The sequence below is a fragment of the Homo sapiens genome, chromosome 12, assembly GCF_000001405.40.
Source record: "Homo sapiens chromosome 12, GRCh38.p14 Primary Assembly".
In the NCBI taxonomy this organism is placed as follows: Eukaryota; Metazoa; Chordata; class Mammalia; order Primates; family Hominidae; genus Homo; species Homo sapiens.
In genome coordinates this window covers 100,020,469-100,036,013 of record NC_000012.12, presented here as the reverse complement: position 1 = coordinate 100,036,013, position 15,545 = coordinate 100,020,469, and the positions used below count along the sequence as shown (strand labels likewise).

The 15,545-nt window shown below is 39.6% G+C and overlaps 1 annotated feature.

The window, feature by feature from the left end:
* Positions 14,839–15,002: a silencer, noted in NCBI's record as "fragment chr12:100414790-100414953 (GRCh37/hg19 assembly coordinates)". NCBI's record gives its function as "represses an EF-1alpha promoter that drives an FKBP-Casp9 reporter gene in an ReSE screen in K562 erythroleukemia cells {active_cell/tissue: K562}" and the evidence as "EXISTENCE:reporter gene assay evidence [ECO:0000049][PMID:32094911]".

The following is a 15,545-nucleotide window of genomic DNA, read 5'->3' as shown; positions in this document are numbered from 1 at the left end:
AAATGTGCAGATGTCTAATTAAAGATTTAAAATGTATAGCGTATGTCCTTAGAACATTTGATTTTTAGGTATACATTCGGCAAAAACAGTCTGTTATGGAAAAGAAGGATTGATGGGACATTAACTTCTTCCGAGCTAACATTGTTTCTGAAGATTGACCTATTCTATATAAATTTAAATTTTTCTATGTTTTTCTTTTTTTTTTTGCGATGAGGTTTCGCTCTTGTTGCCCAGGCTGGAGTACAATGGTGTGATCTTAGCTCACCGCAACCTCCGCCTCGTGGGTTCAAATGATTCTCCTGTCTCAGCCTCCTGAGTAACTGGGGTTACAAGCGCCCACCACTACGCCCAGCTAATTTTTGGTATTTTTAGTAGACACAGGGTTTCACCATGTTGGCCAGGCTGGTCTTCAACTCCTAACCCCAGGTGATCCGCCCACCTCGGCCTCCCAAAGTGCTGGGATTACAGGCGTGAGCCACCGTACCCGGCCTCTATCGTATATTATAATTGCTTATTGTTATAGAAGCTGAATGTTTTACTTACTACTTTTAAATTTATTTGGTCTTCCCAAGGAAATCATACAAACGGTAGAGATTATGATAATCTGAGCATTCTGTGTGCTTAGTTTGATTTTTTTATTTATAAGCAGTACTATTTTTATAGATGTTTAAAATTCATAAAACACTGTATTCTGAGAGGTAGGTATTATTCAAATGTTAGAAATTTTTTTTAAAAAAATGCCCTGAGGCTTAGAAAGGACAAATGACTGAAATCACAATTAGTAATCTGGTCTTTAGACTTAAAGCCTAGTTATATGCTTTTATTATAGCTTAGTCATTAATTCACACATTTTCCCTTATCTTTTTTATCTTTTAAAGGTGACCATAAAACTTTAAATTGTGTGTGTACGTCTATGTATGAGGTATATGTTACCCTGTTTGTGTTATTCAAACTACCTAAAAGATAGGATGATTTTTGTTTAAGTGAATCCCAAACTAGCAGTCTGAGAAATACAGGAAAGCCTGATAATTGACTTACCAGAGTTGGCTTTTTTTTTTTAAGTTACCATAATTTAGATATAAAGTTGTCATGTCCTGGAATTTAAAAAAGAAATCTCTAGCTGAGAGATGTTAATGGTCAGGAGTTGAAAATGACAATTGTGCTTTGCTTTTTATTTTTATTTTTTGTTTACTTTTGAGTTTTTTGGAGTTTTTTTCCTATATTTTTAATTGAGAAGTAAAAATTATATATTTATGGTGTACAACACGATGTGATACATGTATACCTTGTGGAATGGCTAAATCAAGCTGTCTAACATGTTACCTCACAAACTTTTTTTGTAGCGAGAACACTTAAAATTTTGTAACAATTTTCAAGTATACAGCATATTGTTATTAACTGTAATCACGTGATATACAGTAGATCTCTTGAACTTATATTTACTAACTGCAATTTCGTGTCCTTTTACAAACATCTCCCCATTTCCCCATCCCCCAGCCTCTGATAACCAGAATTTTACTCTCCATCCCATGAAGTTGACTTTTTTTGCACTCCGTAAGTGAGATCATCTAGAATTTTGGCATGTCTTTCTGTGCCTGGCTTATTTCACTTAACACAGTGGTCCCCTGTGTAGCTGGGACCACAGGCGTGTGCCACTACACCCAGGTTTATCCATGTTGTCAGAAATGACAGGATTTCCTTTTTTTAAAAGTTGAATGGTATTCTCTTATGTATATTTTCCACATTTGCTTTTTCCATTCATCCATTGATGGACAGTTAAATTGATTCCATATCTTGGCTATTGAGTAATGCTGCAGTGAACATGGGATTGCAGATATCTCTTCCACATACTGATTTCGTTTCCTTTGAACATATACCAAATAGTGGGATTGGTGGATAATATGGTAGTTCTATTTTTTAATGTTTTGAGGACCCTCCATACTGTTTTCCATAATGGCTATAATAATTTACATTGCCACCAACAGTGTACAAAGCTTTTCTTTCCTTTTCTCTGCATCCTCTCCAACACTTCCCTTTTGTCTTCTTGATAATAGTCATTCTAACGGGTATGATTACAGTAGCTTTGTAGTGGGTTTTCTGTGCTGTGCTTTTTAATTTCATGTATGTAAAAAACATTGGGTATTTTGAATGTTTTTCTTTTCTCACCTTATCCTAGAACTTGAGGCTGGGCGCGGTGGCTCATCCCTGTAATCTCAGCACTTTGGGAGGCCAAATTGGGCAGATCACTTGAGGTCAGGAGTTCGAGACCAGCCTGGCCAACATGGTGAAACCCCATTTCTACTAAAAATACAAAAATTAGCCAGGCGTGGTGGTGCACGCCTGTAGTCCCAGCCAATCAGTAGGCTGAGGCACGAGAATCGCTTGAACCCAGGAGGCCAAGGCTGCAGTGAGCCACGATTGCACCACTGCACTCTAACCTGAGCAACACAGACTCCATCTCAAAAAAAAAAAAAAAAAAGAACTTGGAAATGCCCCCATATATACTAGTTGTGATGAAGCATTATTTTTAGTTAAGTCATATAAGAATGACTGTGTATGACCAAAGGCAAATATATGTGGAAGAAACTCACCAGGAATTCTTTTGTGGGTTTTTATTCAATACATGTCAGTAGGGGAGTTATACCCCCTTTTTAATAAGTTTGTGTTAACCTACAGTCTAACCAAGGCATCTTATCCCAGTGAATGCCACCACCATTCACCCTGGTTCCCAAACTGGTAACATAGAAATAATCTTGACATATCTTCCTATCACTTTGTCATCAAGTCCTGTCATTTTTACCTTGTAAACATCTCTTAAATGTGTCTACTTCTCACCACACCCTAATCTAAGCTACCATCAGCACCTTTTGCCTGCATGACTGCAGTTGTCTCCTAACTGTTCTTCCTGCAGCGACTCTGGCCCTCCCTGTATTCACTCGACTGCAAGCAGAATTCTCCTTTTTGTTCGAAGTTCAATTTTAATCAAGACAACCCACCTACCTGCACTTGCACCCCTAGCTTAAAATGCTCGAATGGCTTTTTATTGTCCTTAATGATGAAAAGGAAATATTTTATGTGACCAAATATATTTGACCTATGAGGTCAGATATATTAGGGCCACTATCTAAAGCATAGTTCCAAGCATTAAAATAGTTACTGTCTCAGATTAAAACAGTGGCTGGCACATCACCTCAATAGAGGTTACCTATTCTTGTTGCCACTTAGCCTCATATGTACCATGTTTTACTTAATACCTTCATTGTCCTTTAAGTATTCGGAATGAGAATTACAGTGCTTCATTCAGCATAAGACTTTTGTTCATGCTGTTTCTTTGGCCTGAAATATCTATCCCTTCCCAATTGCCTAATTAATTCCTATTTGTCTTTCAGATCTTAGCTAGTTCATCACTTCCTCAGGGAAACATTCCCTAATTTCTGTCACAGAGTAAGACCCGTTGTTATACGTCTCACCTGACCATGTACCTCTACTTAGCATTTAACACGTGTAATTTTGTATGTATTGGTTTGATTAATGTCAGAACCACTAGATTGTAAACTCCATGAGGACCGGAATTTTGTTTCTGTCATTGTCATTGTTCAACTTTGTATTTTTTATGCCTCATACAGTGCCTGGCACATAGTAGGTGCTCAATTAACTTTATTGAAAGAATAAAATGAATGGATGAGGTATCAAGGATGTTTTTCAGATATCAAATTCTTCCTTTCAGTTTGATTGAAGGGAGATGAAACACAGAAAACTAGTTGCTGGTAGTTATTAAAAGGGGGGCAAACTTCTTGAATCCAAAGGAGAAAAAAAGATGGGAGGGTGGAATGGGAATATTTGCCATACTGTGGGCTTCTGGATTTTGAATATGTGAACTTACAGTTGATTTATCACAAAACAAAATTAGCATATCACTTAATGGTACTACAATGCCAGAATGTCATCTGGCTTTGATTGTAACATATGATGTGGCTGTTGCGATCTGCCAATATTCTCAGCTAAACAGATGGAAGTAAGTCCAAAAGAGTAGTGGGTGAAGTAGTTTCTCCTTGGGAAATTGACTAATACTCAGAATTAATTTCAGCTGTGCCTAATTCCTTACGGTCCAAACAATCTCCTTTTAGTCTGTACTTTGAAGTGCTATAGAAAGTAAATTTTGTTTCAATTTTCCTTTTAGAATATATAAATACCAAAAGGTAGAGATACACAGTATGTAGAAGCAGTAGTGTTTTTAAAATGCAAATTTCATTAAATTATAATACTTGATTTTTTTTTTTTTTGAGACAGGATCTTGCTCTGTCACCCAGGCTGGAGTGTAGTGGCACAATCATAACTCACTGTAGCTTCCAGCTTCCAGCTCAAGCAATCCTCCCCCGTCAGCGTCCCATGTAGCTGGGCCTACAGGTGTGTGCCACCACACCCAGCTATTTTTTTTTTTCTTTGTAGAGATGGAGTCTCACTCTGTTGCCCAAGCTGGTCTTGAACCCCTGCCTCCCAAAATGGTGGGATTTCAGGCATAAGCCACCATGCCCAGCCAATACTTGATACTTTTTTTTTTGTTTGTTAGGTGGAGTCTTGCTCTGTCACCCAGGCTGGAGTACAATGGCACAGTCTCGGCTCACTGCAACCTTTGCCTCCCAGGTTCAAGCAGTTCTCCTGCCTCAGCCTCCCAAGTAGCTGGGACTACAGGTGCACGCCACCACACCCAGCTCATTTTTTTTTTGTATTTTTAGGCGAGAGGGTTTCACCATGTTGGCCAGGCTGGTTTTGAACTTCTGACCTCAGGTGATCCGCCTGCCTCAGCCTCCCAAAGTACTAGGATTACAGGCGTGAGCCACCACTCCCAGCCACTTAATACATTTTTAATTTTTGGGTTCTTAAGATCGATTTTTTGAGATGTAAAAAATGAAAGCGTGAAACAATGTAAGCATGATGATTTTTTATAAACCATTAGATGTTAGACAATAATTGTAAATTTTAAAGAAATTCATGTGAATGTTAAAATACTGAAATTTAGCATATATGTTGTCAACAGTATTGTTACAATCTTAGCAGGTTTGAGAATTTGAAACCTTTTAGGGAAGCATATTAAAAAATACAAACTCAATGTTTTTCCTGCTATATATATAGTATTATAAATTATGCACAATAAATTTTTGGTCCCAGAAAAAACACATCACTTAATAAAAATAGTAATCTGGGTTTTTTTTTAATTCTGAAATCATTTAGACAGAAAGGTAATATTATATAACTTATAAGTTAGTTTTTATTTTCAACATGCTGTCATTAACAAAAAAATTTGTTATTTACAAACTATACTATTTGAATGGTAAGTGAAATTTCTTGTATTATTTTAAAATTTATTGGTTAATTTATTGACCCAGTTTACCTGAATTTCTCATATTAATTCTTCATTGTGTTTAGGAATACTTGAGCATTATGAAGGATAGGAAAGTATATAGCGAAGTGATGAACCTTTCTTGCAACCATTCAGCAGAAGCATTTTGATTTATATGACAAGAACTCAAATACTCAAAATGTCATCAAGAATGATAATTTTTTTGAAGAAAAATAGACATGCAAATAAATGTTTAAGAAAAAGATGGCCAGGCATGGTTGTTCACACCTGTAATCCCAGCACTTTGGGAGGCTGAGGCGGGTGGATCACTTGAGGTCAGGAGTTCATGACCAGCCTGGCCAACATGGTGAAACCCCGTCTCTACTAAAAATACAAAAATTAGCCGGTCATGGTGGTGCTCATCTGTAGTCCCCGCTACTTGGGAGGTTGAGGCAGGAGAATTGCTTGAACCTGGGAGGCAGAGGCTGCAGTGAGCCAAGGTCGCACCACTGCACTCCAGCCTGGGCGACACAGCGAGACTCTGTCTCAAAAAAAAAAAAGAAAAAAAAAATCAGAAGTGTCTAGGCCGGCACGGTGGCTCACACCTGTAATCACAGCACTTTGGGAAGTCGAGGCAGGTGGATCATTTGAGGTGAGGAGTGTGAGACCAGCCTGGTCAACATGGTGAAACCCTGTCTCTACTAAAAATACAAAAAAATGAGCTGGGCGTGGTGGCACACACCTGTAATCCCAGCTACTTGGGAGGCTGAAGCACGAGAATTGCTTGAACCTGGGAGGCAGAGGTTGCAGTGAGCTGAGATCATGCCACTGCACTCTAGCCTAGGTGACAGAGTGAGAAGTTGTCTCAAAAAAAAAAAAAAGTATCACTGAAGGATATGGGTAAAATAAATGTATAGGGGTATGATGAAAGTCCATCCTTCATAATATTTAAAATCACTCCAAGCCCGGGCTCGGTGGCTCATGCCTATAATCCCAGCACTTTGGGAGGCTGAGGCAGGCGGATCTCCTGAGGTCAGGAGTTTGAGACCTGCCTGGTCAACATGGTGAAACCCTCTCTCTACTAAAAATAGAAAAAATTAGCTGAATGTGGTGGTGAGGGACCTGTAATCCCAGCTACTCAGGAGGCTGAGGCAGGAGAATCACTTGAACCTGGGAGGTGGAGGTTGCAGTGAGCCAAGATCATGCCACTGCACTCCAGCCTGGGCGACAGCAGGATTCCATCTCAAAAAACAACAAAACAAAAACACTCCAACTAAAATAGATACACAGTATAATCAGAGCAGGGGATTTTGAAATTACTGAACAAGTCAAGTATAAGGAAATATGTTGAACAAAATTCCAATAATTAAACACTTGTGAAAGATCTATAATAATTCACTTGGCATGTGCATCATTTGAATTAAAACCTAAAGCATGTTGGTTGTGGTGGCTCACACCCAAAATTCCAGCGCTTTGGAAGGCTGAGACAGGAGGATTGCTTGAGCCCAGGAGTTTGCACCCAGCCTGGGCAACATAGACCTTGTCTTTACTAAAAATTTAAAAAATTAGCTGGGCATGGTGGCACAGGCCTGCAGTCCTACCTACTCAGGAGGCTGAGGTAGAAGGATCGCTTGAGCCCAGGTATTCAAGGCTGCAGTGAGCTATGATTGTGCCACTGCACTCCAGCCTGGGCAACAGTGAGACCCTGTCTCTGGAAAACAACAGTAACAACAACAACAACAACAAAAAACCCTAAAGCAAATAAATTGGCACATACAGAAATTCTTCAATTTAATGTAAAAAAAATGGCATATGCAATTTAATTTTTCATTAAATGATATACCCACAAGGGTATATCTATTGGAATCTTATGGTTCCAATTTGACATGAAAAGTGAGTCTGGACTCTCACTGCTATCATTATACCAATAATGTTGGGGCAATTTAGTGTTTATTTGAATTCAGTATAGTTACTTTATAATTTATTATCATAATTGGCATAGCTATGGTAGCCATATTTGTTGCTTTTTTCCACCAGTTTATTTTTACTCCATTTCTTGCAGTTGAACAAGAGATTTTTCAATCAAGACTTTGGAACTACGAAGATGGAAGAGATTTGAAGAGGGATATAGAATGAGTAAATTAAGCAACTTTTTAATATCCTATTTCTATAAATATCCAGAATTTAAAACATTCCTGTATTATAATATCTAAAAACATGCTAAGGCTAAGTATATCTTTATTTTAAATGTTAAGTTTTTCCTAGCAAAGATATTTGAGAATTACTATATTCATATATGTAATCCTTTTCTGTAAATCTTATTGGGGGCGCAGTTAACACTTTGCAATTTTTATGTGTATCAATACTTCTACCCCCTCCTTTTTTTCTTTTTTTGCCTTCAGGAACAATTGAGTTTCTTGTTAGTACTCTTTACTGAGTATCCTTCAATTTTGATTTTCTGGGGTAGTTCCATAAATATGTCCAGAGGCTATTATAGTGCCACCAATTTTAGAGATTGAAGCATGAATAATATATACACTGGCAATTTTATACTTCCAATCATCCCTCCATGTCCATGGGAGATTTGTTCTAGGGTCCCCTTGGATACCAAAATCCAAGCATCTTTAAGTCAGGGAGTTGGTTCTTTGGATCAACAGATTTCATATCTTCATTTGGTTGTGGATATGGAACTCGTGGATATGCATGGCTGACTGTATTAATTGAAAAAAAAATTGCGTGTGAGTGAACTTGTGCAGTTCAAGCCAATGTTGTGCAAGGGTGAACTGTACTCTTCCTCCCTGCTTGTACAATTATTGCAGTACATGTCACGAAGTCAGATAAAATTATGGCATCTTAAGGGTTGGAAGGAAACAGAAGTTCTGTTGCTCAGCCTCACACCAAAGCAAATCCAGAATGCTCACAACAGGGAGTCACCAAATTACAGCTGAAGTTCTTAACAAGAAAACATACTACCCCATAAACCTTTCTGTTTTAAGTAGTTCTAGTTTGACCTTTTTTCTCCTATTTGTGAATTAATGTAGCTCCCCATTACCACACTTGGTCCTAGGTTTTTCATTCACATTACAGAAGAGCTGTTATATCTCATGCCAAGTCTTCTTTTTTCTAGACTTTACATCCATAATCCTTTATTCCTCAAAAGACATGGTTTCCAAAGCCTTCACCATTATTTGCCATTTAGATGTGCCCCAATTTGCTAAAGTTCCGCTTAAAATGTGGTCACTTGCATAAGTTAGCATGCTTCTGTCTACAAGTAAAGGAAAAGCCAACTAAAAGTGTTACCCTATTCACATAAGGAAACATCTGGCGATGGGGTGGTTCCAGATGCTTACTGATGATGACGGACCCTAGCTCTTTCTGTCTTTCATCTCTGCCATCCTCAATGCAGGGGATTTTTATCCTCATGTTCATGGTTGCAAGCAGCTTCTAGCAAAACCTCTTTAAACATAGGCACATTCAAAGGCAGAAAAAACTCATTTTCCTCACACTTTTCTTTTTAAGTAAATCTCTCCTTTCCAGTAATGGCTCAGTTGACTTCCCTTTACATGTCACTGTACCTAAATGCATCACATTCCCTCCTGAACCATCTGGTTAAGATAAATCACCCTGGGCTGGGCGTGGTGGCTCACACCTGTAATCCCATCACATTGGGAGGCAAAGGTGGGTGGATCACCTGAGGTTGGGAGTTCGAGATCAGCCTGAGCAACATGGAGAAACCCCGTCTCTACTAAAAATACAAAATTAGCCGGTTGTGGTGGTGCATGCTTGTAATCACAGCTACTTGGGAGTCTGAGGCAGGGGAATCGCTTGAACCTCGGAGGCGAATTTTGCAGTGAGCCTAGATCGCACCATTGCTCTCCAGCCTGGGCAACAAGAGCGAAACTGCATCTCAAAAAAAAAGAAAAGATTAATCACCCTAAGGACTGGAGTACTGATTCTTCCGAGTACGTGGCCACAGAGGAAAGAACCCAGTTAAAACTAGGGATCTGTCTACCAGAGGGTAGGGAAGGGGATAGATTTGAGCAGGGAATTCAGTCTGCCAATTACCAAAACTGAAAACAGGTCCTGCATAATGACATTTTGGTCAACAACAGACTCATTATAGGAAGGTGGTCCCATAAGATTATAATGGAACTGAAAAATTCCTATCGCATAGTGACATCCTAGCTATCTTAACATCATAGCACAATGCATTACTCATGTGTTTATGTTGATGCTGGTGTTAACCTATTGTGCTGCCAGTAGTATAAAAGTATAGCATGTCCTGTTTAGATTTCTTCCAAGCATACTTTCCTTTCTTTCCTGTTCTAAAGCCTTTTTAAATAAACTTCCATTCCTGCTCTGGAGGAAAAAAAGTATAGTACAATTATGTACATAGTACTTGATAAACATTTGATTTAAACTTGATTACTGGCTTATGTATTTATTATGCTACTGTTATTTTAGAATGTACTACTTATTAAACAATTTTTTTTTTTTTGAGACAGGGGCTCACCCTGTTTGCCCCAGACCAGAGTGCAGTTGCCATTATCACGGTTCACTGTAACCTTGACTTCCTGGGCTCAAGTGATCCTCCCACCTCAGCCTCCCAAGTAGCTGGAACTACAGGTATCTGCCACCATGCCCAGCTAATTTTTGTACTTTTTGAAGAGACGGGGTTTCACCATGTTGCCCAGGCTGGTCTTGGACTCCTGGGCTCAAGCAACCAACTGTCTCAGCCTCCCAAAGTGCTGGGATTACAGATGTGAGCTACTGTGCCTGGCCTAAACAAAAAATTCAACTGTAAGCAGCCTCAGGCAGGTCCTTCAGGAGGTATTCCTGAAGAAGGCATTGTTGTCATTGGAGATGACAGCTCCATGATATTGCCCCTGAAGACCTTCCAGTAGGACAAGATGTAGAGGTGGAAGACAGTGATATTGATGATCCTGATTTTGTGTATGCCAAGGCTAATACATGTGTTAGTGTCTTTGTTTCAAAAGTTTACAGTTTAAACAATTTTTAAAAATAGAAAAAAAATCTAGAAAAAGGACCTAAGGAAAGAAAATATCCTTGTATAGTTGTATAATGTTTGTGTTCTAAACCAAGTGTTATTATAAGAGTTAAAAAGGTATAAAGAGTTAAGTTTATAAAGTAAAAAAGTTACAGTAAGCTAAGTAAAGAAGTATAGTAAGCTGAGGTTAATTTATTATTGAAGAAAGAAAGGTTTTTTTATAAATTTAGTGTAGCCTAAGTGTACAATGTTTATGAAGTCTACAGTGGTGTGCAATAACATCCTAGGCCTTCACATTCACTCACCACTCACTGACTCACCCAGAGCAACTTCCAGTTCTGCATGCTCCATCCACGGTAAGTGCCCTATACAGGCATACTATTTTTTTTTATCTTTTATACTGTATTTTGACTATATTTTTTGCATGTTTAGATACACAAATACTTACCATTGTGTTGCAATGACTACATTATTCACCAGAGTAACATGTTCTACAGGTTTGTAGCCTAGGAGCAATAGGGCTATACCATATAGCCCAGGTGTGTGGTAGGCTACACCATCTAGGTTTGTGTAAATATACTCTACGATGTTCACACAATGACAAAGTCACCTAATGACACATTTCTCAGAATGTATCCCCATTGTTAAGTGACACATGACTATACTTATACTATGCAGTCTAACTGATAAGGAATATAATGGGGCTGTGGCATTCATTTAATGAACATGTTAAAAAACTGTTATGTGGCAGGCACTGGGCCTGGTATTGGAATACCATCTACCTATCTCTGCTTACAGGATTCATCTAGTGGGGCAGATGGACAAATAAAGAAGTAATTTCAGTATGATATGTTAAATGCCATGATAAAGTAAGTAAGTACATGGAACCCAGTTTTGGGGAATCAAAGAAGGCTTTTCAGAGGAAATGATATCTAAGCTGAAGTCTGACAGATAAGTGTAAATTAACCACTGGTTAGAAGGTGCTAGGCAGAGAACAGTTTGGAGACAAGAGTATATATTGAAGAATGGTTCATACAGGAGAACTGTAACTACTGGTCCAGATATTGTTTCTTTTAGGGTAGTCTAAGCGTATGTTTTCTTTTTTTTTAAGCACTTTTTCCTTCCTTATATAATTTGTGCTGATTTGTAACCATCAAGATTTTTTCATTCAAGCACATTTCTTGCCGAGTCAGGTCTCTCCTATTCTGTATATTTGCAGGTAATTTTTTTCCACCTTAATATAAGTATTTCTGTTTACTTCATTGTGTTTAGGTTCAATATATATTGGGCCAGGAGTCAGCAAATTTTTTTCTGTATAAAGGACAAAATTAAGTATTTTGTGAATCATATGGTCTCTGTTGCAGCTACTTAACTCTGCTATTATAGAATGAAGTTAGCCACAGACAATATGTAAATGAATGGGCATGGCTATATTCTATAAACTTTATTTACAAAAATAGGCAGTGGGCCATTGTCAGCCAACCTCTGATCTAAACCTAGACTGCCAGTATTATTCCAGTCCCAGGGTAACTTACCCCCAGCACAAGGAAAGTGAACTTCCATCTCTTCGCAGCCCATCTTCCATGTAGAGAGCCTGACCCAGGAAAGAAGTGATCTGTGGATCTGTAATTAAATGATTTTATTAACCATATTGACTTAACCGGAGTTAGCAGGCAAAGCTACACCCCACATACCTAAGCCCACAGGTTGGTTCTTCCTTTATTATTTTTCTTTTCAATAGGTTTTTGGGAAACAGGTAGTATTTGGTTACATGGATAAGTTCTTTCATGGATTTCTGAGATTTTGGTGCACCCATCACCTGAGCAGTGTACACTGTACCTAATGTGTCATCTTTTGTCCTTCACTCCCCTCCCATCCATTCCCCCCAAGTTCCCAAAGTCCATTCTTTTTTGTGTGTGCGTGTGAGACAGAGTTTAGCTCTTGTTGCCCAGGCTGGAGTGCAATGGCACAATCTCGGCTCACTGCAACCTCCGCCTCCCGAATTCAAGCGATTGATTCTCTTGCCTCAGCCTCCCAAGTAGCTTGGATTACAGGCATGCGCCACAATGCCTGGCTAATTTTGCATTTTTAGTAGAGATGGGGTTTCTCCATGTTGGTTAGGCTGGTCTCAAACTCCCAACCTCAGGTGATCTGCCCGCCCCGGCCACCCAAAGTGCTTAGGATTACAGGCGTGAGCCACTGCACCTGGCCCCAAAGTCCATTCTTATGCCTTTGTGTCCTCATAACCTAGCTCCCACTTATGAGAATGAGAACATACAATGTTTGGTTTTCTATTCCTGAGTTATTGCACTTAGAATAATGGTCTCCAGTTCCATCTAGGTTGCTGCAAATGCCATTTTGTTCCTTTTATGGCTAAGTAGTATTCCCTGATATATACATACCATATTTTCTTTATCCACTCATTGATTAATGGGCATTTGGGCTGATTCCATATTTTTGCAGTTGCAAATTGTGGTGCTATAAACATGCGTGTGCAAGTATCTTTTTTTTTTTTGAGATGGAGTTTCATTCTCGTTGCCCTAGCTGGAGTGCAATGGTGCAGTCTCAGCTCACTGTGACCTCTGCCTCCTGGGTTCAAGTGATTCTCCTGCCTCAGCCTCCCAAGTAGCTGGGATTACAGGTGCCTGCCACCACGCCCAGTTAATTTTTTGTATTTTTAGTAGAGACAGGGTTTGCCATGTTGGCCAGGCTGGTCTCAAACTCCTGACCTCAGGTGATCTACCCACCTCGACCCCTCAAAGTGTTGGGATTACAGGCATGAGCCACAACGCCTGGCTGCAAGTATCTTTTTCATATAATGACATCTTTCCCTCTGGGTAGATACCCAGTAGTGGGATCACTGGATCAAACAGATCTACTTTTAGTTCTTTAAGAAATCACACTGTTTTCCATAGTGGTTGTACTAGTTTACATTCCCACCAGCAGTGTAAAAGTGTCCCTTCTCACCACATCCACATCAACATCTATTATTTTTTGATTATGGCCATTCTTGTGGGAGTAAGGTGGTGTCATATTGTGGTTTTGATTTGCATTTCTCTGATCATTAATGATATTGAGCATTTTTTCATATGTTTGTTGCACTGTATATCTTGTTGCATTTGCTTTTGGGTTCTTGGTCATGAAGTCTTTGCCTAAGCCAATGTCTAGAAGGGTTTTTCCAATGTTCCCATCTAGAATTTTTATGGTTTCAGGTGTTAGATTTAAGTCTTTGATCCATCTTCAGTTGATTTTTGTATAAGGTCAGACAGATGAGGATCCAGTTTTATTCTTCTACATGTGGCTTGCCAATTATCCCAGCACCATTTGTTGAATAGGGTGTCCTTTCTCCACTTTATGTTTTTGTTTGCCTTGTCGAAGATGAGTTGGCTGTCACTATTTCGCTTTATTTCTGGGCTCTCTCTTCTGTTCTATTGATCTACGTGCCTCTTTTTATACCAGTACCATACTGTTTTGGTAACTATAGCCTTGTAGTATAGTTTGAAGTTGGGTAATGTGATGCCTCCATATTTGTTCTTTTTGCTTAGTTTTGCTTTGGCTATGTGGGCTCTTTTTTGGTTCCATGTATTTGGTCCCCTATATTTCGCTCACCTCTCTAAATTTGTCTCAGCTTCAGGTAAGGTCAAATCCTCCTGTGATCTGGACCTTCAGGTTACCCAGTGAGGATGCGTGTTTCAGGGGCGATGTTCCCCCTCTCACACTATGAGCGCTCACAGTTTTTCAGCTGTCTTACGGAGCCTGCAGTGGCAAGCCGCTTCCTTCAAAGAGTCTGTGGATTCTCCCTGCTTTCCTGGCATATTTCTGCGTTAGCAAAAGGCCATGATGTAGGTCTCCATATGCTGCTCTGTCCATTCAAGAGGGAGCTGCTAGTTAGTGCTGCCTCCTATCCACCATTTTTTCAACAATCATTATCCTTTATATGTAATCACCCTTTTCTTAGTTACCTCTCTTAATTCCCCCTAGCTTCCCAAGAAGACTTTCTTGGATAGCCATACAGTTTCTTTGATTATCATATCATTATATAACAGAGAGAGGTTTGGTGCCCTTGACAATATTATTTTGTCCTTTTCCAGCCCTTCTTTGGTGATAACTCTGATACTATTAAGTGTTCTTCCAGGGTATGCATATGATGTCTCTATGATCAAATATCTGTGAAAGCTAGATATTCCTTTCCACTTACAGATCACAGAGGCATTTGTTGTTAAATTGACCTTCTAATTTTTACCCTCTGTATTTTCTATTTTTGTAAAACATTTAAATAATTTTTATTTATTTATTTATTTATTTTTTGAGATGGAGTCTCACTCTGTCACCCAGGCTGGAGTGCAGTGGCGCAATCTCGGCTCACTGCAAGCTCTGCCTCCCGAGTTCACGCCGTTCTTCTGCCTCAGCCTCCTGAGTAGCTGGGACTACAGGTGCCTGCCACCACACCTGGCTAAGTTTTTGTATTTTTTAATAGAGACGGGGTTTCACTGTGTTAGCCAGGATTGTCTCAATCTCCTGACCTCGTGATCCGCCCGCCTCGGCCTCCCAAAGTGCTGGGATTATAGGCGTGAGCCACTGCACCTGGCCTAAATAATTTTTAAATAAATTATTTAGTTACTTATTTTAGAGACAGGTCTCATGTCTCCAGGCTGGAGTGCCGTGGTACGGTAATGGCTCACTGCAGCCTCGAATGCCTGGGCCCAATCACTCCTTCTGCTTCAGCCTCTGGTGGGGTGTAGCTGAGACTACAAGCCTGCGCCACCTTGCCCAGCTCTGTGTATTAGTTTTCTATTGCTGCCATAATAAATTACCACAACTTTATTATTTCACAGTTCGAGTTGGAGGTCCTGGTATAGCGTGGCCCAGGTGGGTCCACTTCTTAGTCACACAAGGCTGAAATCAAGGTGTCAGCAGGGCTGCACTCCTTTCTGGAGGCCCTAGGGTAGCTCTGCTTCCAAACTCATTCAGGTTTCAGACCCAGATTAGTTTCTTGTAGTTTTAGAACAGAGGTTCCATGTCCTTGGCTAGCCGTGGTTCTCAGCTGAGAGGGAGTCATTCTCAGCTTCCAGAGGCTATCACATTCCTTAGCTCTGAACCCCCATCCTCCATTGTCAGAGTCAGAAATAATGAGTCTAGTCCTTCTCACATTTCAAGTTCTTCTGACCTCCCCATTCTGTCTCATCTCTTTTGCTG